At 35.4% G+C, this 26454-nt stretch overlaps 1 protein-coding gene across 29 annotated transcripts in view; it reads right to left on the reverse strand.

Annotated features, from left to right (window-relative positions):
- ZDHHC21 (zDHHC palmitoyltransferase 21) overlaps positions 1-26454 on the reverse strand; it is a 104636-nt gene that overhangs the window by 33310 nt on the left and 44872 nt on the right. For 19 of the 29 annotated variants that reach the window (XR_001746284.2, XR_001746285.2, NM_001354127.2 and 16 more), the window contains one exon: positions 17790-17906. Coding sequence is in view for 17 of the 29 variants with exons in the window: in NM_001354127.2 (NP_001341056.1) it covers positions 17790-17906 (117 nt within the window). In the remaining 12 variants the exon portion in view is untranslated. Of the gene's footprint in view, positions 1-434; positions 586-17789; positions 17907-26454 lie in introns of all 29 variants that reach the window. The other 10 variants (NR_148714.2, NR_148716.2, NR_148715.2 and 7 more) reach the window with 1 other exon arrangement.

The following is a 26454-nucleotide window of genomic DNA, read 5'->3' on the forward strand; positions in this document are numbered from 1 at the left end:
ACTTTTATTTATAAATATTTACACCTCGATTACAGTCTAATGATCAAAATATCTAAGACTTTCCTCAGTCTACATGACCAAGAGATATATGAGGATGATTTACTATTTTAAAAACTGGATGTTCTTAAAAATAATGAACTAGAAACAGCAAGACATACAGAAATATAGGCCCTACCTATTTTATCTAATATTTTATCTTCTGATGGGTGATCTTACATAAGAAATTATTTTTCAGGTCTAGTCTAAAAAATTATGTTGACTATTACCACTGTATCCTAAGTAGTAAAATTATACCTGGAATGGGGGGGCGGGGAAGTTCCTAAGAGAAAAGGAGAAAGAGATATCTCTTGGCTTGATGTTAGGAAAATGAGAGGTTGCAGGGGGGTGGGATAAAGAGCAAGAATTTATCACCAGAGGTTTCCTGGTTAACAGACCTGAGAACCCAGTCCTCTTGGCATAGAGCGCTTGATGATACAATCCATCCAACTAACTCATCCTGTTTTGAGTTCATTCTCACCAAGCAACACTTTGCCACATATGTTGTCATACAGGAGAAAGAATGTGCTGAAGAGTCCTTTGGCACACCTGACAATCGCACATAAAGGAATAAACAATCTGTTATATGACTATCTCTTTTGAGTCTGGAAGTAAGAGCCATTGCCTCTGGACCTGTTTAACCCTGCAAACAATTTCAAAATGGAGTTTCTAGACCTGCCAAACTGCAGACCTGAGGAAAGTAAGAAAATTCTTTTCATTAGACTCCTTGAAGACAGTTCAATCTAACCTCAATTATCCCCTGCATTCTTTATTATTATAGGTCTTGTTGATGCTTCCAAGTCTGCTACACGTAGTTACCTAATGACTCTATGGTGATTTAATCTAGAGTTTAAAACACTGTTCTATACACACAATCTACTCAAAATGGATCAAAAACTTCAATGTTAAGACCTGATCCTATGAAACTACTGGAAGAAAACATAGAGGAAATGCTTTAGGACATTGCCTGGATAAGGATTTTTTAGGTAAGACATAAAAAAAAAAGGCAACAACAAAAAAAAAAACAGACAAATGAGATTACATCAAACAAAAAAGCTCTGCATAGCAAAGGAAACAACATAGTGAATGGCTGGGTGCGGTGGCTCACGCCAGTAATTACAGGACTTTGGGAGGCCAAGGCAGGTGGATTGCTTGAGGCCAGGAGTTCAAGACCAGTGCAGCCAATATAGTGAGAGCCTGTCTCTACAAAAACAAAACAAAACCTTTAAAAAATTAGCAGGCATGGCATGGTGGCATGTGCCTGTAGTCCTCGCTACTTGGGGGACTTAGGTGGGAGGTTTGCTTGAGCCCAGAAGTTCAAGGCTGCAGTGAGTTATGATCATGCCACTGCACTCCAGCTTAGGTGATAGAATGAAATCCTGTCTCTTAAAAAAAAAAATACATTGAAGAAACAACCTAAAGAATGGAAGAAAATCTCTGCAACTATACATCTGACAAGGGGTTAATACCCAGAATACATAAGGAACACAAACAACTCAACAGAAAAAAAAAAAAAAAGAGAGAGAAAACAAAAAAAATCTGATTCTAAAACAGAGAAAAGATTATAGAAATGACCAACAGGTATATGAAGAAATGTTCAACACCACTAGCCATCAGAGAAACGTAAATCAAAAACCACAATGGGAAATCATGTCATCCCAATCAGAATTATCCCAGGGTATTATCAAAAATACAAAAGGTAAATGTTGGCAAGGATGTGGAGAAAAGGGAACCCTTACACAGTCTGGGGAAGAACCTTTACTCTTGTTGGGGAAAGTGTAAATCCATGCAGTCATTATAAAAAACAGTATGGAGGCACCTCAAAAAGTTAAAAACAAAACTACTATATGATCCAGCAATCACAGCACTGGGTACACTGTCAGCCCTCCATATTTGTGGGTTCTGTAGCTGTGATTCAATCAACCATGGATCGAAAATACTTTAAGAAAAACTATTTAAAAAAATAAATAATAATATGAATTAAAATAATATAGTTTAACAACTATTTACATAGTATTTACGTTGTATCGGGTATTATAAATAATCTAGAAGATGAATTATAGTACAAGGGAAGATGTCCATAAGTTATATTCAAATACTACACCATTTTACATAAGGAACAGGAGCCTCAATGGATTCCGATATCCCTGTGGGGTCCAGAAATCAATCCCCCATGGAGAGTGAGGGACAACTGTATATTCAAAGGAATAAAATCAGTATGTCAGAGTCCCATGTTTATTGCAGCACTCTTCATAATAGCCAAGATATGGAATCAACCTGTGTCTAACAGCAGATGAATAAAGTAAATATGGTATATATACACAATGGAATACTAATCGGCCAAAAAAAGAATGAAGTACGATCATTTGTGATCACATGCATAAATGAAATAAGCCAGTTAAAGAAAGACAAATACTGACTGTTCTCACTCATATGCAGAATCTTAAAAAAGGTGATCTCACAGAAGTATGAATAGAACAGTAGTTAGCAGAGACTGGGGAGGGTAGAAAGAAGTGAAGGATGGGGAAGAGGATGGTCGATGGGTACAAAGTTACAATTAGAAAGGAGTAATAAATTGTGGTGTTCTATTGCACAGCAGTGTGATTACAGTCAACAAAGTACTGTACATCTCAGAATAGCCTGAAGAGAGGATTTCGGATGTTCTCACCACAAATAAATGAAAAACGTTTGAGGTGATGGATAAGTTAATTACTGATTTGATCATTACATTATGTATACAAATATTGAAGCATCACATTGTACCCCATAACTATGTACAATTATTATATATCAATCAAAAATTTAAAAATTAAAAACACTACTCAGGCAAGTTTTTCACAATTAGAGAAAAACTTTGCCTGCTTTATCTATTACTAATTTATATTAATTCTAAGAAAGACTTTCATTTCACTTCTTAGCACCTCTGATTAGTATATGAACAGTAGCTCATTTAACTTTAAATTTTTCCATAGCACTTAGCAGCACATACTGTACAAAATGGTCAACTTAATATAAATTTGCAGCACTAAACTAATTGGACATGAACAGAAATAGCATGATTCCTTATTTTTAGTTTTGTTTTCAATCAAAAGAGGGAAATGTCCTGTTAATCTTAGCTCTGTCTTCCTTCTACTTTCCTCATTTGAAATGAATGGTTCTTTAAGCACCCATTTCCAACAAAAGACCAGCTATGTCTTTTATCAGGGATCTGAAGTTCACATAAACATCGAATCAATCATAGAACAAAAGTGAGAAGGCAACAGATCTTATATTTATAGACACTGAAAATCTCTTTCCAAAATAATCCTCACACTTCTCTTAATCTTAAATGCCACTTTCTGACTGTATAATCTAAAGAAAATTGCTAAAACTCTATACCTCCATTTCCAAATAATAACGCTTACCTCATAGGTTTTTGTGGGGATTAAATGAGTTAATTATGTCAAAACCCCTTATAACTCCTCAATAAATGGCAGTCTTAAGATTTTAGTGATACTGCCTACTACCTACTTTTTGAGAGGGCTTGGAAAGAAATACCTCAATTACCTCAAAATGTAACTTTTCAACATTATGTTTAAACAAACAAACAAGTGGTTTTATAATGAAAAATAAAATAATAGGGACTACAAGAGACTACACATATAAAATCCTATGCCCTCTAAGAGCTTATAATCCAGTTGAAAAAACAAGTCCTAAATATGTAAACCATGATTCATTCATTCATTTATCCATCTATCAAAAATTTACCAAGTATCTATTATGACACAGTCCTTAGCATCATGGAACTTACAATCTAGTAAAAGTAGTCAAGTATACAGGAAATAATTATATAGTAACATAGAGAGGAAGCCAGCAAGGATGATTATATACAATAATGTTTTGTAGAAATAAGTCTCGCACTAATCAGAATATTTGGAACAGCTGAAAAACTGTTTATAATCAAAACTCAAATTTAACTACTCTTACACTTTTAACACCAAAATTATACTTTGATAAGATTTTTGGTTATTAGTAGAAATAAGATGGGCATTTAACATGCCCCTTTGGCTGAGATTCAGGGAATAATAATATATCAATAAAATGTACATAAATTATTGTGCCAAAATACCATAAGCAAACCATAAATATAAGATTTACTGCTTTCTGCAGTCCTATGTTTTAATGTCAGATTAAATATTTGTGTGGATTCAGATCATGAAATAATAAAATGAATATCTAGGAAAAATTGTTAGTAAAAGGAAAACCCATAAATGTTTAGTTTCCTTACGAACACTTTTTAAGCATCTATTTAATCACTCAAGCAATCAGTAGTGATTTAAGGACATATAAATAAATTATAGAAAAAGATTTCTTTTTAATTAGTTTTATCAAAAATACTTACAAGCAGTTTATTACACTGAGCAAACAGAAATTATGCAATATAAATATGCTTTTACATAGGAACATGCATATGCTAAAGAGTAGCCCAATTCCACACACCATAATTATCAAAATAATTTTGATAATTTTTTTAAAAGAGTATTTCATGTAAATATGAAATATAACTTGGTATTTAAGCAAATGCCCTTGGCAAGGGGGAACCTAGTTTTTTATAAACTTATCATATACAAAATTCTAAAAAATATTATACCCAATTTTACTATATGACATTAAAAGCATATTTAAAAAGAAGGGACACTTTAAATTTTAATTAACTTTCTAGGTTTTAAAAAAGCTATAAAATCTTTCATATAATATTACAATTGGGAATACTACATTAGAAATACATTTATTTTATTTTTATCAAGCAAAAATTCAGAGGAAGACAAAAATGCCTTACAGAGCTCCCTTTATAGAAGTATATGTGAGCTGGGGTCAGCATAATTAGCAATGATGTTCATGTCTGCAATGCTGACCTGGAGCTGAGTACATCAAACATAATTGTTATAAAGAGTGTACTGAATGCTATTAATTCAAAATAATTTGGCAGAATACTAGGCAAAATTTAACTATAGGAATTAATCATTTGAGGACTACACTTCTGTGTATAGATTAAAAGGCAAGTAAATCGACTGATTCGTAAAATGCTGTTTACTAGACAGTCTCCTTTAAACTGATTTCACACTTGGAACACAAGATACTTTTCAGTGAGTAAGGTAGCCAAGTTAAAACTGTCACCCCTGCATTTATGATTTCTCCTGTATTTATTTAAGTAAACATTAACTTGCTGAGTTAAATATGAGCCAGTATTTAGGGGGGAAAACATTTTCTTCTTAATTTGAAAAGCTTTGATTTAAGCTATCTTCAGCAATTCAAATAGAATCCAACAATAGCACCTGTGAAACCAAATGCAAAAATCACTATTTTTTTGTTTGAGAATTTAGTCTTTTACAAAATTGCAACTAAATACATCTGTCTCACCCTACCCCCAACCTCACCACAACTGAGAAAATCTCCAGAGACATCATCAAAAGCTTACACTATTATATAAACTCCACAGAGCCCAGAAAACAAAAATGCTTGTATATAAAAATTAGATAAACTGTCAGAGCAGTGTCATGGTACACAATAGCTCACTGTCAGAACCTCACCAGAATGCGCTGTACCAGCTGTTACAGCACTTCTTGATTAACTCTCTCCAAGCCCAGTGACTGAGAACATGACAAATACAATCACCCAGCACTATTAGTATTGGTGCTCATCAGAATGGACATTATTGTTGGCTATGTGTGAACTACTGCTCAATAATTCAGACAACATCAATTACATTAAATAACATCACTATCCATTTGATTCAGAAACAGCAAAAAAAAACCAAAAAACAGGCTAAACAGTCTGAAGTCTAAAAAATAATTTGACTAACCTGTTTCCCTTAATAAAAAATGCCTCGAAGTAGACTGATTTGAAAACATTTTTATTCCAATATAAATTGTAGTAAAAACGCACAAAAACGTATATTTAAATCCTGTTTAAAATTAAATCGAAAAATAATCACAGGTAATCCTTTTGAATTGGGCTTCAGATTAGTCTATTTAACAGAAACATCTGGTTGTGTTGAAATCTTTTAACCTTGAAAATGAGATTAGAATCCACTATTTTTAAGTTAAAGTAATTTCTAATTATTTTATCTGGGTCACAGATAATCTACTCTTGCTAGGTCTAAAATGACATCAGATTATCACTGCTATGATTATCCTGTTATCTTTCACTATCAACAGGAAGATGAGATAAATGATTTATTTATTCCAAGTAAAAATGAATAATGGTAAAAAATTACTGAAAAGTGATATGCTGCTTCCCTGAAACCTCAAGCTAAATCCCAAAGAGACAACACTTATTTTGCTTGTTTGATGTCTAGTAGGTCTATATTCAAGCTATGCAATAAAATAGTTTACGTAATGAAATGATATCCGTATCAGTAGTTTCCCAAAATGCCTCTAGGATCTTTAGGGTGCAAGAGTAGGGAAAAAGTAAGACTGCAATGGAAGGATTAAATTTACTGTGATTCTTTCTCCCACTTCTTTCTTATGCAACCTGACAAATTCGTCACTTAACACTGTAAAGAGAGATCCATGGATTCGAATTATGACAAAAACATGTGCAGATGTATAATTTCTTGTAATCTTAATTTTATCACAAAACAGCAAACTTATTTTATAAAGTAAGCATCATCTATATTTTAACTTAATTAAAATATTAAATAGTATTTAAGTGCTAATTTAATTCATTCGATTTAAAATTAAACACCGAATGCATTAGACTTTTAAATAATCAAGCCTCAAAGAATCTTAAATCAATGTGAGGAAGAGTATATTCTGGAAACCCTTTTTAATTTCTTTTTTAAACCCCAAAAGGGTAACGCTTGAGGTTCACTATGAAATCCCAGCTAAAGAGATTTAAAAATTCATTGTAATTCTAAAAAGTACTCGTATTCAAGAGAAAGTAAAGTGACTAAAGGTTAGGATAACAAATAGAATATATCCTCTCTCTTGCTTTCTCTTTCTTAACAATTCTTTTTTGATTGTTTTACAGAGGTGTAATTGCTATAGATACCAGCAGTGTCTGGTACAGTGCTCTGAGAGGTTACTACACATATGCAGAAAGAGATGAAACTTTTGGAGGGAGCATTATTCAACAAATGTGGTTTCCACTCGGTTTTAGAAATATCACCTCATAACCAAATCTCTCTACCTTAATAAAATGTAACGTTCAATACTACAGAAAAAAACCCTTGCAATTTGAGAATTAACATGTTGATAGAAGGGAAGAGAGTCAGAATCAAACCTGATACACAAAAACCATAAATAACTTACAGAAATACCTCGAAGATATTGCAGGTTTGGTTCTAAACAATGAAGCGAGTATTGCAATAAAGCCGGTAGCAAAAATTTTTCGGTTTCTCACTGCATATAAATGTTATGTTTATGCTATACTCTATGAAGTGTACAACAGCATTATGTCTAAAACACAATGTACATACCTACCTTAAATTAAAAATTATTTATTGATAAAAAATGCTAATGATCATTTGAACCTTCAGGGAGATGTAATATTTTTGCTGGTAGGGGGTCTTACCTCCAAGTTGACAGCTTCTGATTGGCCAGGGTGGTGGCTGCTGAAGGCTGGGGTGGCTGTCAAAATTAAAACAATAAACCGGTGGCTCACACCTGTAATCCCAGCATTTTGGAAGGCCGAGGCAGGTGGATATTGAGGTCAAGCGATCGATACCATCCTGGCCAACATGGTGAAATCCCATCTCTACTAAAAATACAAAAATTAGCTGGCGTGTTGGTGCACACCTGTAGTCCCAGCTACTTGGGAGGCTGAGGCAGGAGAATCGCTTAAACCCGAGAGACAGAGGTTGCAGTGAGCCGAGATCACGCCACTGCACGCCAGCCTGGCGACAGAGAGAGACTCCATCCCAAAACAAACAAACAAGCAAAAAAACCAATAAAGTCTGCTGCATAGGTTGACTCTTCCTTTCATGAACGATTTCTCTGTAGCATGCGATGCAATTTGATAGCACTTTACCCACAGTAGGACTTCGTTAAAAAATGTGGAGTCAATCCTCTCAAACACTGCCACTGCTTTACCAACTAAGTCCATATACTCTTCTAAATCCTTTGTTGTCATTTCAATAACGTCCACAGTATCTTCATTAAGGGTAAACTCCATCTCAAAACACCACTTTTTGGGCTCATCCATAAGAAGCAAATTCCCATTCATTCAACACTGATCATGAGATTGTAGCAATTCGGTCACATCTTCCACTTCTTATTTCTCTTGTTATTTCTAGCACATCTTTAGTTACCACCTCCACTGAAGTCTTGAACCCTTCAAAGTTAACCATGAAGTTTAGAATCAACTTCTTCCAAACTCCCGTTCATATTGTTATTTTGGTCCCCTCCCATAAATCGCAAATGTTCTTAATGGCATCTAAAATGGTAAATCTTTTCCAGAAGGTTTTCAATGTACTTTCTCCAGATCCATCAGAGGAATCACTGTCTACAGCAGCTATAGCCCATGAAATGTATTTCTTAAATGGTAAGACTTAAAAGTTGAAATTACTACTCCTTGATCCATGGCATGCATAAGGGGTGTAGCAGGCATGAAAACAACATTAACCTCCTTGTATATCTTCATCAGAGCTCTTGAGTGACTTGATGCATTGTCAATGAGCAGTAATATTACGAAAGGAACTTTTTTTCCTGAGCAGTAGTTCTCAATAGTGGGCTTAAAATATTCAGCAAGCCATGCTGTAAACAGATGTGGCTGTCACTTAGGCTTTGTTTTTCCATTTCTAGGGCAAAGGCAGAGTAGATTTAGCATAATTCTTAAGAGCCTAGGATTTTTGGAATGGCAAATGAGCACTGGCTTCAACTTACAGTCACCAGCTGCATTTAACCGTAACAAGAGAGTCAGTCTGTCCTGTACCTTGAAGCTTTGAAGCCAGGTATCGACTTCTCCTCTGTAGCCACAGAAGTCCTACATGGCATCTTCTTCCAATAGAAGGCTGTTTTGTGTACACTGAACATCTGTTGTTTTGTGTGGCCACCTTGATTAATCATCTTAGATCTTTTGGATAATTTGTTGCAACTTCTACATCAGCACTTGCTGCTTCACCTTGCATTTTTTATGTTATGGAAATGCCTTCTTTCCTTAAGCCTTAAGAACAAACTTATGCTAGCTTCCAACTTTTCTTCTCCAGCTTCCTCACCTCTTACAGCCTTCATAAAATTGAAGAGTTGGGGCCTTGCTCTGGATTAGGCTTGGTTTAATGGAATGTTGTGGCTTGTGTGATCTTCTATCCAGACCACCAAAAATTTCTCCATATCAACAATAAAGCTGCTTCACTTTCTTATCATTTGTACGTTCTGTGAAGTAGCATTTTAAATTTCCTTCAAAAACTTTTCCTTTGCATTCATAACTTGGCAATTTGGCACAAGAGGTCTAGTTTTCGGCCTGTCTCAGCTTTTAACATGCCTTTCTCATTAGGTTTCATCATTTGTAGTTTTTGATTTAAAGTGAGAGACATGCAACTCTTCTTTTCACTTAAATACTTAGAGGCCACCATAGGATTATTATTTGGCCTCATTTCAACATTATTGTATCTTAGGGAATAGCAAGGCCCAAAGAAGAGAGATAGAGGAATGGCCAGTGAATGCAGCAGTCAGAACACACACAACATTTACCAATTAAGTTTGCCATTTATACGGGCGCAGTTTGTGGTGCCCCAAAATAATTACAATAGTAACATCAAAGATCACCAATCATAGATCATAGTAACAGATATAATAATCATGAACATGTTTGAAATATTACAAGAATTACCAAACTGTGGCACAGAAACAACAGGTAAGCACACACTGTTGGGAATATTGTACCGAAAGACTTACTCAATGCATCATTGCCACAAACCTTCAACTAGTTAAAACACACACAAACACACACACACACACACACACACACTATCTACAAAGCACAATATAACAAGTATGCCTGTATAGCATATATACTGTGGATAAGAAATTAAGTGTTTATCAGAATATATTCAGTAAAAATGTATCAAAACTACTATCAAGCAACAGTAATTAAGAAAGTGTGGTCCTGGCATAAAGATATCTCTATGTCATAAAGATAGACATACAGATAAATAAAATAGAGTTAAGAGTCCAGAAAATATCTAGTTAATTTTCAACAAAGGTGTCAAGACTATTCAATGGTGGAAAGAATTGTCTTTGCAAGAAATGGTGCTGGGACAACTAGGTATCTACTGTAAAAGAATAAAGATGGACCCCTACTTCACACAATGTACAAAAATTAGCTCAAAATGAATCATAGTACTAAATATAAAAGCTAAAACAATAAAACCCTTAGAAGAAAATATAGGAGTGAATTTTGTTGACCTTGGATTAGGCAATGGTATCTTAGATATGACACAAAAAGCATATACTACCCAAGAAAAAAATAAATTGAAACAATAAAAAGTACTAATTTTGTGCTTCAAAGACACTGTTAATAAAGTGAAAATATAACTAAGAGAATGTGAGAATATTTGCAAATCACATATTTGCAAATAATATATCTGAAAAGGGACTTATACCTACAATACATAACCTTTCTAACTCAACAGTAAAATGGCAACCCAATTAAAACATGGTCAAAGGATTTCTCCAAAGATATACAAATGGACAACAAGCATGTGAAAAGATACTCGACCTCATTAGATCACCAGGGAAATGCAAATTAAAACTATGATGAGGTATTACCGTTTTTTAAAAGACAGGTAATAACAATTGTCACCAAGGCTGTAGAGGAATTAGAACCCTCAAATACTGCTAGTGGGAATGCAAAATGGTGCAGCAACTTTAGAAAAACAGTGGCAGTTCTTTAAAAGATAAATGTAGTTTCCATTAGACTCAGCAATTCCACTTCTATATACCCCAAAGAAATGAAAATGTACGTCCACACAAAAACGTGTAGGTGGGCTTCAAGATAGCTGACTAGAAACAACTGGTACTCACCTCCTTCACAAAGAAGAACCAAAATAGTGAGTAGATAATCACACGTAAAATATATCATCTAAGAGAGAACACTGGAAATCAACAGAGAAGTGAATGGAAACACCATCCTAAAGCAAGGACTGACAGGAAAGCAAGGCAGCCTGGTTAGTCAAAATTGGCTGGGGACATGGAGAGGCTCCCCAGTGCAGGAAAAGGGTAAGTCAGTGACCCCTACTGCCCAACATTCCCACTGCAGACTCCTGCATCCTAGCTAGAGGAAAGCCCCTAAACCCTCACAAGTCTCAAGACTAATGGGAGCTACCTGGAGAATACATGAAGGTACCGCTCCAGAGAGGAGGATCATGCTGGGTCCCGCACAGCCTTTGAGCCCTAAGCAGCTCCAGGAAGGCACCATATTAAGAGTCCAGCCCTCACCAGACTGTATCCTGCCAGTGAGCCCAACAGCCCCTGCATCTCCACATTTCTGGAGCCCCACTGATATTCCCTGCCCACAGCCACTGCTGCAGTTGGCTGCTACCACCAAGGCTGAAGCACAAACTACTGGCAAACACCCTGCTGATCCCAGCAGCAAATCCAGGGTGCATTTTCACATGCCCCAATGTCAAACCCCCACCCACAGCAGCCATTGTGGGCTGGCACTGCCAGGCTGAAGTACAAGCAAAGTGTGCAATCCCCAGCCCGCTGCATACAGCTGCAGCCACTGAAAGCAACCCCGTCCTCCCCAGTAGCAGGGCTGCAATGGATGCCATCCCCACCCAAACATTTTGCCTTGGGCCTGGAGATCACCCCACCAATGCCTACCACAGCCACTGGGTGAATGTACCACCAGGGGACCTGAGGCTAGGTCTCCCCAACCCCAAACACCAGTAGCTGAGGCTAGGTCTGCCCATACCCAAACTCCAGTACCCAAGCACACTGTCCAGGAGCCTGGGGACCATCTACAGCCCAGTCCACCATTGCTGGCACCTGAACACTCCTCTCAGGGGCCAGAGGTCAGGGCCACCCAGCCTGCTACTACCACCACAGCTGGCACCCACACATGCCACCTGCAGGTCTGAGGGCTGGCCCACCCAGCCCATTGCTGATATTGTCAACGCCTACACAAACCACTTGGGAGGCAGAGGTTTGTTCTGCCAATACTATTGCCATTACCCACGCCATGCCCATTTCCCAGGACCCGAGAACCTGTCCACCTGCCTGGCGCATTGCTGCCACTATCCACACCTGAACAAGCCACGTGGAGGCCCAAGAATTGGTCTGTGTGGACCTGCTAACAGCAGTGCCAATGCCACCCTGGTGCCCACGGACAGGCCCACTTGCTGCTGCCACCACTAAGGACTAAGGACAAGCCCACCTGGCAACCCGGTCCCTAGCAAAATTTCACCACAACATCCACTAACAACCACACCCTAAGCCACTGATGAAATCACAGATACCACTGATGCTATTCACAGCCAAACAAATCCTACAGCAACTATAATACTGCACATTCCCAGAATCAAAACCAAAGGGCCCCAACCAGCCAACACAAAGATACATGTCCAGGAAAAAGTCCTCTCCCACAAAAGCAAATTCAAAAAATTGGAAAAAACATCTGTTACAACAGACGCATAGATATCAACATAGGGACACAAGAAACATAAAAAAGCAGGAAATATGGCACTCCAAAGAAATACAATAATTCTCCAATAAAATATTACAATCAAAAAGATATATATGAAATCCCAGAAAAATAATTCAAAATAATATTAAAGAAGCTCATTGAGATAAAGATAATACAGAAAATATGAAGCAATTAGAAAAACAATTCCAGATCTGAATGAGGAATTTACTAAACAAATACAAATAAAAAAGAACCAAACAAACTGAAGAATTCATTAAATGAAATACAAAATACATTTCAAAGTTTCGATAATAGAATAGATCAAGGAGAAGGAAGAATTTCATTACTTGAAGACAGGTATTTTTAAATAACCCAGTCTGACAAAAATAAAGAAAAAAGCATTTAAAAAAAGAACAAAGACTACATGACATATTGAATACCATGAAGTGACCAAATACTTTAATTTGTAATGTCCCAGAAGATAAAGAGAAAACAACAAACCTAGAAAACCTACTTAAGGATATAACAGCTGAAAACTTCTCAAGTCTAGCAAGTGATCAAGACACCTAAGTATAGGAAGCTCAGGGATCCCCAAACAGATACAATGCAAAAAGGTCTTCTCCGATTTGGCACATCATAATCAAACTATCAAAAGTCAAAGACAGAGAATTGTAAAAACAGCAAGAAAGAAAGCATCAAGTCCCATATGAGGAATCTGCATCAGACTAACAGTGTATTTCTCCACAGAAACTTTATAGGCCAGGAGAAAATGGGATAACACATTCAAAGTGCGGAACGAAAAACACTTTCAGACAAAAACACTATTTCCAGCAAAATTATCCTTCATAAATAAAGGAAAAAGGCACGTGATAACAAGCAAAAGCTTTGGGACTTTATCATCCCTAGACTGGTCCTACAAGAAATGCTTAAGAGAGTCCTACACTTGGAAACGAAAGGATGATAGCTACCATCATAAAAACACATGAAAGTATAAAACCCACTCTTGGGTGGTTGAGGCACAAGAATTGCTTGAACCTGGGAGGTGGAGGTTGCAGTGAGCCGAGATCGCAATGCTGCACTCTAGCCTAGGCAATAGAGCAAGACTCTGTCTCAATTTTTTTATAAAAAATTAATTAAAAACCCACTGGCAGAGCAAACACACAAATAAGGAAGAGGAAGAACTCTAATGTTACCACTACACAAAACCATCAAACCACAATGATAAACAATAAAAGAAAAAGAAAAGTACAAAGCATATATAAAACAATCAGAAATCAATTAATAAAATGACAGGAGTAAGCCTCACATATCAATAATAATCTTTAATGTAAATGGATTAAACTCTACATTTAAAACATATAGACTTTCTGAATGGACTAAATAAACAAACAAACATGACACAACAATATGCTGCCTACAAAACATTCATCTCACCTGTAAAGACACATAGACTGAAAGTAAAGAGACAGAAAAAGATATTCCAAGCAAATGGAAACCAAAAGTAAGCTGGAATAGCTAGCTATACTTATATCAGATATGCAGACTTTAAGTCAAAAATAGTAAAAAGTTACAAAGCAGACCATTATATGAGATCAATTCAGTAAGAAGATATAACAACTCTAAATATATATGCACCCAACACCAGAGTACCCAGATATATAAACCAAGTATTAGATTTAAAGGGAAAGATAGACTCTAATACAGTAATAGTTGAGGACTTGGACACAGGATTCTCAGCATTAGACAGATCTAGTAAAATAGTTAACAAAGAAACATCAGATTTAAACTGCTCTCTAGACCAACTGGACCTAATAGATATTTACAAAACATTTCAACCAACAGCTACAGAATACACATTGTTCTCATCAGCAAATGGAACATTTTCCAAGATAGACCATAGGTTAGGACACAAAACAAGTCTCAAGAAACATGAAAAAAATCTAAATTGTATCAAGTATCTTCTGAGACCACAGTGGAATAAATCTAAAAATCAATAACAGGAGGAACTTTGGAAACTATACAAATACATGGAAATTAAGCAACGTGGTTCTTAACAACCAGTGGGCCAAGAAAGAAACTAGGTAGGAAATCACTTTCTTAAAACAAATGAAAATGAAAACGAAACATACCAAAACCTATGGACTACAACAAAAGCAGTGCTAGGAGGGAAGTTTACAGTAATAAATGCCTATATCAAAACAGTAGAAAGATTTCAAGCAAATAGTCTAATGATGCACCTCAAGGAACCAGAAAAGCAAGAATGAACCAAACCGAAAATTAGTAGAAGGAAAGAAATAATGAAGACCAGATGAGACGTAAAAGCAAAAGAGACTAAAAAAAATATGCAAAGAAGCAATAAGACAAAAAGTTGGTGTTTTGAAAAGATAAACAAGTGAATAAACCACTTTCAAGACTAACCAAGAAGAGACAGGACCCAAGTAAATAAAATCAGACATGAAAAAGAAGACATTACAGCTGATACCATTGAAATACAAAGATTATCAAAGATTATTATGAACAACTATATACCAACAAACCAAAAAACCTAGAGTAAATGATAAATTCCCAGACACATAAAACCTACCACAACTGAATTGGGTAGAAATAGAAAACTTGAACAAACCAATAAAAAGTGACAATATCAAAGTAGTAATAAAAAGTCTCCCAACAAAGAAAAGTCCAGGACCCAGACAACTTCACTGCAAATTCTACCAAGTGTTAAAATAAGTAGAACTAACACCAATTCTCCTCAAATTATTTCAAAAAATTGAAAAGGAAGGAACTGGAACTCTCAACAAACTAAGCACAGAAGAAACATACTACAATATAATAAACACCATCTATGGCCTTTTGTGTTGATGGTATCTTATATCAAGAAAAACCTAAAGGCTCTACCAAAAAACTCTTCAATCTGATAATTAAATTCGGTAAAGTCACAGGATACAAAATCAGCATACAAAAATCAGTAAATCAGTAGCGTTTCTATACACCAATAATGAACTGAGAAAGAAAGAAAAAACACAATCCCATTTACAATAGCTCCAACAACAACACTCTAAGAATAAATTTAACCAAGGAGGTGAAAGATCTCTATAAGGAAAACTGCAAAGCACTGATGAAAGAAATTAAAGGAAGAGACAAACAAAGGAAAGCTATCCCATGATAATGGATCAGAAGAATTATTGTTAAATGACCACACTGCCCAAAGCAATCTACAGATTTGATATAATCAGCATCAAAATACCAACATCATTTTTCATACAATTAGAGAAAACAATCCTAAAATTTGTAAGTCAAAAAAGGGCCCGAATAGTCAAAAAAATCCTAAGCAAAAAGGACAATGCTGGAGGCATCACATTACCTGACTTCAAAGTATATTATGAGGCTACAGTAACCAAAATAGCATAGTATCTGTATAAAAGCAGACACATAGACACACAGACCAAGGGAACAGAATAGAGGATCCAGAAATAAATTCATATATTTACAGCCAACTGATTTTTGACAAAGGCATCAAGAACATACATTGGGGGAAAAAAACAGTCTTTTGAATACATGAGAAGTGCTGGGAAAATTGGATATCCATATGCATAAGAATGAAGACGGAAACTGGACCCCATTTCTCACCATATACAGAAACCAACTCAAGATGTATTAAAGACTTAAACATAAAACCTACAACTGTGAAACTACCAGAGGAAAACTTAGGAAAAATATTTCAGGACTTGGTCTAGATGAAAATTTTATGGCTAAGACCTCAAAAAATGCAGACAACAAATACAGACAAATGGGACTCTATTAAATTAAAAAGCTGTATAGTAAACAATCAACACATTGAAGAGACAACCTGTAGAATGAGACAAAACACTTGAACTTTTTGCTTGACAAGGGACACTACCCAGAATATACAAGGAACTCAACAATTAAAAAAAAAAGGTACCATTAAAAAGTGGGCATAGGACATGAATATGCATATCTCAAAAGAAGATATGCAAATAGCCAACAGGTATATGAAAAGTACCATCATTAATCAACAGGGAAATGCAAGTCAAAACCACAATAACATATCATCTTAGAACGGCTTTTATTAAAAGGACAAAAAGTAACAGATGCTGGCAAACATGCAGAGAAAAGGGAACTCTTGTACACTGTTGGTGGGAATGTAAATTAGCCTAATCACTAAGGAAAAGAATACTGAGAATTCTTAAAAAACTAAAAATAGAACTACCATAAGATCCAGCAGTTCACTATTGGGTATTTATCCAAAGGAAAAAAAACAATCAGTATATCAAAGGGATGCCTGCACTTGCACGTTTATCACAGCACTATTCACAAGAGCAAGGATAGGAAATCAACCTAAGTGTCTATCAACAGATGAATGAATTTTAAAAATCTGGTATATATACACAATGGAATAATACTATGAGCCATAAAAAGAATGAAATTCTGTCATTTGCAGCAACATGGATGGAACTGGAGGTCATTATGTTAAATGAAACAAACCAGGCACAGAAAGACAAATATCATATTTTCTCACTCATATGGGAGAGCCAAAAAAGCTGATCTCATGGAGGTCAAGAATTGAATGAGAGATACAAGAGGCTGGAAAGGGTGCATGGGTGGAGCGGGGGACGAAGAGAGTGTGGTTAATGGTTATAAACACACAGAAGAAATAAGTTATAATGCTCAGTAGCACAGTAGGGTGACTACAGTCAGCAGCAATGTATATTTTAAAGTAACTAGCACAGAGGACTTGAAATGTTCCTAATATATAGAAATGATAAATACTCAAGGTGATGGAGACCCCAAATACTCTGATTTGATCATTATATATTATATGCATGTAACAGATACTCATATGTACCCCATAAATACGTAAGATACTGTGTATCAATAAAAAACTATAAACGTGATGTCTATAGTCATATAAAAACACTGTATTTGTTAGCTTTTAAAAACAGGATACAAAATTGTGTATACTTTGTACTTGATTATAACTACTTTAAAATTACATAGGCACATGAAAGTATTAAAAAGCATGGGTAATTTTCTCCTTTGATTTCTAAACTTCCTATAACTTTTGAGAATTACATTCATAATTAGGTAATATATTCATAAATGTTACTTTACATTAAAAATATACTTACTGTGATGATGCCAATTAGTTGAGTGTAAAAGAGTCCAGTTATTCCAACTAACATAGTAATGCCCATAAAGGCTGCTAGTCTCATTATGGCCAATTCATGTCTAAAAACAAAGAGGTCCTAAAAAGAAAAAGAAAGTCTTAAAAACCATTCAGAGTTGCTTACATTGCTTACAGTCGCAATAATAATCAAGAATTGAGCCATAACACATCTTCCTTATTATCTTAAAAGAACTACCTCTCCCTCTTTTATACTTCTATTGAAATCAATGTATAAATATTTTAAAATTTCAAAAATAGGTATTTTAATTTACAATAGCAAGCTGGAAAATACAGGAGTTTACTACTCTACTGCATCAAAACTCCTCAATCTTAGGTGCAAGTTAGCCTTGTTTGTTTTTTGAACCTATTTTGGGGAAAAAAAAAAAAAAAAAGAAAGAAAGAAAAGAAAAACCCAAAACAAAACAAAACACAGATGGTTGTACAATCTTTGGTTTACAAAAGGAATTTTATTATTTCTCTGCTAAAAAGTTTGAATACACAGCATGATTCATATTACTAAAGTTCAAGTGACCAAGATATCTAGAAATCATTAACGTGGACAAAATGAAGAGAAATCATATATAATAGGATCATAAGTACAGCTCTCTTCAAGCCTACTTCATTCATTCTTCCATCCAGTCACCCAACCACCATTGCCAAGCATTGTGTTACGTAACAGAAATGTATAAATGATAAAAATATGGTCCATGGCCTCAAGAAGTACAGTTTATTTAGAAAGAGAGCTCAACTTTGGAAAATTCCAAAACAATGTGATACATTTTATAACAGGGATGCATGCAGAGTACTGTAGAAACATAAAGGAATGCCTAGATAGGAGGGAGGAATTGAAATGCTGTGATTTAAAGGCAGGTCTTCTGGCTCAGAGATTGAAAATGAGGGTCCTAAAAGTAAACCAAAGACACTGTGGTGGGAAGACAGAAAAACAAAAAGCATTTCATTTACTCTCACTGTTACCAACCAACCAGACCAGAGGAAGGAGAGAGAGATGAAGAACTAAGACTTCTCCTGGAAATCTGCTGTTGCTAAGCTGTGGAATAAAACAACCACAGAAAATAAAAGCACCAAGTGGATGGAAAGGACACCCAAACACAACCACCCACATGCTTTCTTTTATACTGATTCATGTTAAGGATTAAAGTATCCTAACAGCAACTTCAAAAATAGGAAGGCCACCAGAGATAGTATGCTTGCTTGAAACAGAAGAACTGATACTTTTCTGTGTGTATTATATTGAGTCACCACCAGACTCAAGCAAAAATCTGATTCCACATCCACATTACTTATTCATTAGCCTGGAAAAACTTAGAATTCAGCAAGACACTTAAAACGTTATGTAGCAGGTAAATATTAGGCAATCATTTCAAAACTTCAGTAAAAAGAACCCAATATAGAATCCCTATAAAACATATAAAACCAAAATGATGGGCCTGTGGATGACATAAAAAATTAAGTAAATTCTGCATTAACACTATTTAAAAACACAAATTTGTTCTAACATAATTGATACATTAAACAAGTTTGACCATGGCAATCATTCTTATGCATACTTTTATCTGTGAAAAAATCCTAGATGAACACAAAAAATTGTACCCAGATGAACCAAAATATGTAGGAATACACAAAACACACTCACCCGTCAAACATCTACCAGCCACCTCAGTTTCTCTTCCATGCTATGAGCCACACCCACCCACAACTAGTATTACAACTTTCCCTCCAATTTCACAGACCCTCCCTTCCATCACTTCACAATAATTCACATTCTGCAACCCTCCTGATGCTCACTTCCATAAGAAAACTTCAGGTCTTTCTCAAGGTAAAGTGCCATGTTTATCATAGTATTTATGTATTTCTTAATCACGTAATATTTATATAAAAGAGTGCTGTTGTTTTTATTATATTCCTATCCTTTTAAGTGTCACAGACAAAGTTTCGGAGTGGTAAGCCCTGTGGTTTTAATGCACGGTTTTACACAGTGAGGTGATTTTTAGGAATGCACATATTGCATTATAGCAGAGCTTACTGTACTAAAATTACCATCTATGACCAAATAAAATCCATCCACTCTACTCCCAGTGAAAAGATTTTAAAATAATTTTTGGCCAACTACAATTTATAAATGTCAAGGATGGAGATGAGACTAAAAGATCTACTTATAATATTACATTTATTCATTTGGTTATACATTTATATTTAAAGTATTTATGTAAAATACAGTAGTAAAAAAACTTTAATCTAGAAATTGCTTTTTATCACTTTTACATTTTCAAAAAAACAACTGTATTCCAAGTTCACACATGCATAATTAACATCATCAGCACTAAATCCATATTTTGAGTCACTTAACACTGTTCTCTAGAGTACATCTTTACTTCTGTCTTAGATTTTTTTAGATTTAACACTTTTTGAATCCAAAAATTGGCTTAAAAATTTTTATCCAAATCACAGGAACCCATTTGCTATCCGAGATCTTTACTACATAATCAGTGTTATGGGCTCAATTAGGTCCCCCAAAATTCCTATGTTGAAGCCCTAACCCCTGTACCTTAGAATATGACTGTAGTTGGAGACAAAGCCTTTAAAGCAGTGACTAAAATAAAATGAGGCCCTTAGGGTGGGCACTAATCCAATCCAACTGGTTCCCTTATAAGAAGAGGAAATTTGGACACACTGAGAGACACCATGGATGTTCCCGGAGGAAAGACCATGTGGGGACAGAGAGAAGGTGGTTATCTGCAAGCCAAAGACAGAGGCATCAGGAGAAAACTAACCTGCTGACACCCTGATCTTGGAGTTGTAGCCTACAGAATGTGAGAAAATGAATTTCTGTTGTTTAAGCCACCCACTTTGTTGTATTTTCTTAAGACAGGCCTAGCAAACTAATATAATCAATAAATGTATTTCTTTATTGTTTACATTTCTTCCATTTTTGTTAAAAAATGTGCTCATATACAGATAAATTCATAAAACACATGTGTTCAGTTTAAAGAAAAGTAACACTGGGCTGGGTACGGTGGCTCACGCCTGTAATCCCAGCACTTTGGGAGGCCAAGGTGGGTGGATCACCTGAGGTCAGGAGTTCGAGACTAGCCTGGCCAACAGGCGAAACCCCGTCTCTACTAAAAAATAAAAATAAAAATAAAATAGCAGGGTACGGTGGTGCATGCCTATAATCACAGCTACTAGGCGGGGCTGAGGCAGGAGGATCACGTGAACCTGGCAGGTGGAGGTTGCAGTGAGCCGAGATCGTGCCACTGCACTCCAGCCTGGGCAACAGAGTGAGACTCTGTCTCAAAAAAATATATATATATAAAGAAGAAGAAGAAAAGTAACAGTATCCTCTCAAGAATTAGAACATCTGAAACCAAGTAGAGCCTCCTGTGTATTCCTTCCCCATTGCTGGCTCTCCCTCACCCCTACCCTAAAGGTAAAGGTTACTAACTCCTTCTTCATACATTTTGGATATTGCTATGTTTCAGCTGCATATTGCAAATATCTTCTCCTGCTCTGAAACTACCCTATTCACTCTCTTGATGGCACCTTTTTATAAACTAAAGTCTTAATTTTACGTAGTCCAATGTATCAATCTTTTCCTTTAGTGCTTTTTATATCCTATTTAAGAAATCTTTCCTGATGCTGAAGTAATAATGGCATTCTCCTATATTATCTTGTAAAGCCTTTTAAAAGCTTTGTTAAGTTTTGCCTTTCACATTTAGGTCACTAATTCACATAGAATTATTATTTAATTTTTTTGTGCACAGTGAAAGATAGGAATCTGAATTTACTTTTTGTATATGAATATTCAACTGTTCCGGAATGACTTATCTAAAAAGCTGTCATTTCTTCAGTGACCTGAGATCAAGTATCCATACATGCATGGGCTCTCTACTCTTGTTCCCTTGGTTTGTTTATCCCTGCAACGGTGACAAATGTCTTAGTTATTACGGCTTTGTAATAAGTCTCAATACCTGGTAGGCCATGTCATCCCATCTTACTCTTTTGCAAGAACGTCTTGATTATTCCAGATAATTTGTATTTGCATAAAAATTTTAAAGTTACATTTTCAAGTTACAACACATACTCATGCATACATTCACGTATAATATATTCTCTCCATTACCTTTCGTTAAGTTTCTTCTAAAGGACTTGCACTTTGTCAGATTTAATTCAGCAATTTCCTGTTTTTTGATTCTATTATAAATGGCATTTGCTATTAATTTCATTGTCTAAAGGTTTGTTTGTGAGCATATAAAAATAGATTTTTAAAAATATTGTTTCATAGTCACATTTTTTATACTTTCTTAAAAACCCAAAAGAATCTATAGATAAATCATTTATACAGTTACATCATCTATGTGTAATGACAGTTTTATTTCCTTCAGCAGTTGTACCTTTTCTTTCTTTCTCTTGTCTTACTGCACTGGCTAGAATTTCTAGTAGTATATTTAAGAATAATAATGGTGATAGTGGGGGCATCAATGCCTTGTCTCCAACCTGGAGGGAAGAAGTCAACATTTCATCTTAGCATGCTATAGTTGGTTGATTTTGTGTGTTTTTTTTTTAAGGGGGTCGGGAAGAAAGACCATTTATCTGATTATGAAAGTTCTCCTAAGTTCTAGTTTACTAAGAGTGTGTAACCTGAATGAATCCTGAATTTTATCTTTGTCTTCATACACTGAGATGCTCTATTTGAATTTTTTTTCTAATCTGTTAATGTGATAAAATATACTGACTTATTTTCTAGTGCAAAAACCACCTTTCATTCCTAGGATAAACTCAATTTGATCAGGTTGCTTATATATAACCACATTACATACTATATACAACTGGTGGGAGTTTATATATATACACACATACATATGTATACACACACACACACACACATATATATATATATTTACTTTGCTTTAGTCTGTAGAAATTGCTAAGCTGTTTCTTTATTTCATAGGAAAAAACAAACACAAAGAATACCATGAGGCTCATATAAACAGAGCAAGGTAGGAAAGTCGGTTCTACTGCATGTATTCTCGACAGGGCAAGTTTTGCTCCCAAGTGGGAGAAAACTGGTTCTTAGAGGGAGAAAAAAAGTCTTAGCTATCACTATGGTTTGTGGCTCTACACAATCTTATCTGACAAAATCTTTTTTCTTAGTATTTAACTTCACAGGGGTGGTGAGAGGAGAAAATTTCCATAGGAGGAAAATGGGAATTTAAAAAAAGGTTAAAAACTACTGTTCTACTAGATAACATTTCTTATAAAACCACAGTTGTAATGACAGTGTGGTATTGTCTCTCCACAAGGAGAGACAAATAGATCAACAGACTAGAAAAGAAACAGAAACAGACACACACACATATGAATCATGATTAGGAGAAAGATGGCACTACAGAGTGGAGGGGAAAGAATTATCTTTTCAATAAATGGTGCTAAATCAATTGACTATTCATCTATGAAAAAACTGAAACCCTGACTTCTATCTCATGAGAATCACAAAATTCAATTCCAGGTAGAAATGGGAAAGACAGAAAAATATAGTACCTAGATGATAATAAAGGAGAATTACATTGGTTTTAGAAAGGATAAAAAATATTTTATAAACTGAACCCAAAAAACACTACTCAAAAATGAAACGGTTGATAAGGTGGAGTACATTAAAATTTAAAACCTCTGTTTACCAAAAAATGCCATTAAGAGAGTGAAAAGATAAACCAAAGAGTGGAAGATGTTTACAACACATTCCAAAAAAAGGACTAATCTAAAACGCCCTACAATTACCAAGAAAAAGTCAAATGGGAAAAATACTTAAATAGGCACACTTTGCCAAATAGGCCAGTCATATAATCAGTAAATATATGAAAAGAGGTTCAGTATCATTAGTCATCAGAGAAATGTAAATTAAAACACAATGAAGTACTGCTCATACATACCAAATGGCTAATGTTAAGAAGATTTAAGTATTAGTAAGGATATGAGGCCATCAGAATTCATATACTCTACTGGTAGGAGTTTAAATGGGTGCAACTATTTTGGAAAACTGTTTAACACTATCTAAAGGAACATACCACTTAACCTTCGAACACCAGCACTTCTCGCTATACATCTAAGTGAAACACATGCACATGGACAGCAGGAGGAATAAACAAGGCTGCTCACAATAGCATTATTTATAACCTCCAAAAACTAGAAACAAAGTAAATGTCCATCAACAGAACGAATAAATGGCTTTATATTAAATGAAATATTATGAGGATTCACAACAATGAAAATAAACTGTATCTAAAGTAACAAAAAGGATAAATCTTCCAAATGTTGCCCAAAAGAAACACCAGGATGATTCACTTAACTGTTTTTATTTTTATGCACTCCTTCATATGTGTATCACATTTTACAATATAAAAGGTACAAAAAGTTGTAACAGTGAAATACAGAATATAAAAATACTTTTATTAATTTTAGAAAACCAAACTCTTAAAATACATATAAAACATAAAAGTTAGTTATAAATGGCCTATAAAAAACAGAGACAAAAATTTGTCAAATAAGACACAGAAAAGGATGTGAGAGACAGGAAAAAAGGAGAGGAAGAGTCAGACCACCTCTCTGATCTCATCTACCACTTTCTTCCTGGCTCACCTACAACTACACTGACCTCCTTGCTATTTCTCAGACATAGCTAGCGAACTTTCAAATCAGGACTGCTGCATTTGTTCTTCCCAGAAAACTCCCCAGACAACCACAAGCATACTCCCCTCACTTTCTTCAGGTTTCTACTTAAATATCGCCTTATCAGAGACCTTTTCCTTGACCAAATTACAGAAAATCCCAGTATTCCCTATTTCCTTGCTGTATTTTATTTTTTTCATAGTATTTATCTCCATCTGATATATATCTATTTATTTGTTGTTTTGTCTCTCTTAGCAGTATGCAAGTTTCTTGAAGATGGGGACTTTTGCCTGTCTTGTTCAATCATGAGTGCCTGGAATGTAGAATCAGCTCCAGCTCAACAAATATTTATTAAATGAATGAATGAAAACAAAGAAAATTGGACAAAGAACTGTCTCTTCCCTCAACATGTGAAGAGACAGAGAAAAGTATCTACAAGGACTGTTTCACATGTATAATAGCAGCAATAAACACAGAAAAAGAAACACATAGGCAACATGTACATAAACATACTTATGTCCTCACACATAAACCAGCAGAGGAGGAGAGGGTCACTCTCATGAAATATTAATAATATTCCTATACTCCTATCTCATAATCTTTTAGAACTGTATCATTTAAAAATTTTTAAATGTTACAAAACTAGGCAGTGGGGGGCACCACCTCTTAATGCAAGCTAAATGAAAAGAAGAGTCAGATTTGGCTATTTATGATCTAACAAATAATTAAATACTTGATCTGTGAATTCCTTCAGCTCATATCTTCCTATAAACTTATATCCTAATCTCAATTCAAATTCTAAGACTATATACTATACCTTATCATTTCTAAGAACTGTAACTCATAACATAATTACAATTTCAAGTATGTCACCTTATGAATACCACATGCTTTCTTTTGAGCTAACTCCCTGTTGACTATCAATGCTAACAAATTCTCAACCCCGACGGGAGCTCCAATTCCTTGGCCCAACCACCATGTCATTGGCTTTCCAGAATATATTCAACTCCCTACTTGTTTATATTCCACAGTCCATCATGATAATTTCTCTTTCAATTTACCACCACGTTTCTTGACCCTCTCTCACCACCATTCTACTCGTGTTTCACTGGCTGCAGTCTTAGTCACCTTTCTTATTACCTTTCGTCTTTCCAACTTCAAAAACTGATGAGTGCCTAGTTTGGTCTTCAGAACTCTTTTCTTTTCTATTTCGAATTACTTCTAGGAAATCTCCAGTCAGTTTCCATGTCTTTAAATATCATCTTTATGCTGAAAGCTCCCAAATTTATTTATCTAGCTCAGACCACCCCATTGAAATCCAGATTTTTGTATCTAGCTGCTTAATTAACATCTGTCCCTGGAAGTTAAGCAGGCAGAGTAAACATGTGTAAAACCCAAATCTTTAACTTCTTCCCAGAAACTATTCTTCCGTCAGGCTCCCCCTCTCGGTAACTGGTATCTCCATTCTTCCAGTTGTTTGGGCGGTGAAGCCCTGGAAATATCCTTGACGTTTCGCATTCTATCTCACAGCCCACATTCAAATTATCACCAAATTCTGTTAGCTCTTCAAACTATAATAGACCACTTGTAAACGCTTCTACCACTACTAATAATCATTTCATATTTGGACGGTATTTTAGCAGCCTAGTAGCTGGTCTTCTTGCTATTATCCTTGTCCTTTATTTTTCATAGCAATCAGGTTTTTTTTACTAAAATGTAAATGAGATTGTGTAATGGCTCAAAACCCTCCAACAGCTTACAAAGTCCCAACCACTAACCATCTTAATAAAGTCTCCAGTCCAATCACAGCCCTTACTACTCTCAACTCATCATCTCCTATTGCTCTGTCCCTAACTCACTCCACTCAAGATACACTGGTCTCCCTACTGTTCCTTGAGAATGTCAACAACAGTGACTTGCTTGAGTTCCAGGTCTCTGTTCAA

This window comes from Homo sapiens, chromosome 9 (assembly GCF_000001405.40).
Source record: "Homo sapiens chromosome 9, GRCh38.p14 Primary Assembly".
NCBI lineage: Eukaryota > Metazoa > Chordata > Mammalia > Primates > Hominidae > Homo > Homo sapiens.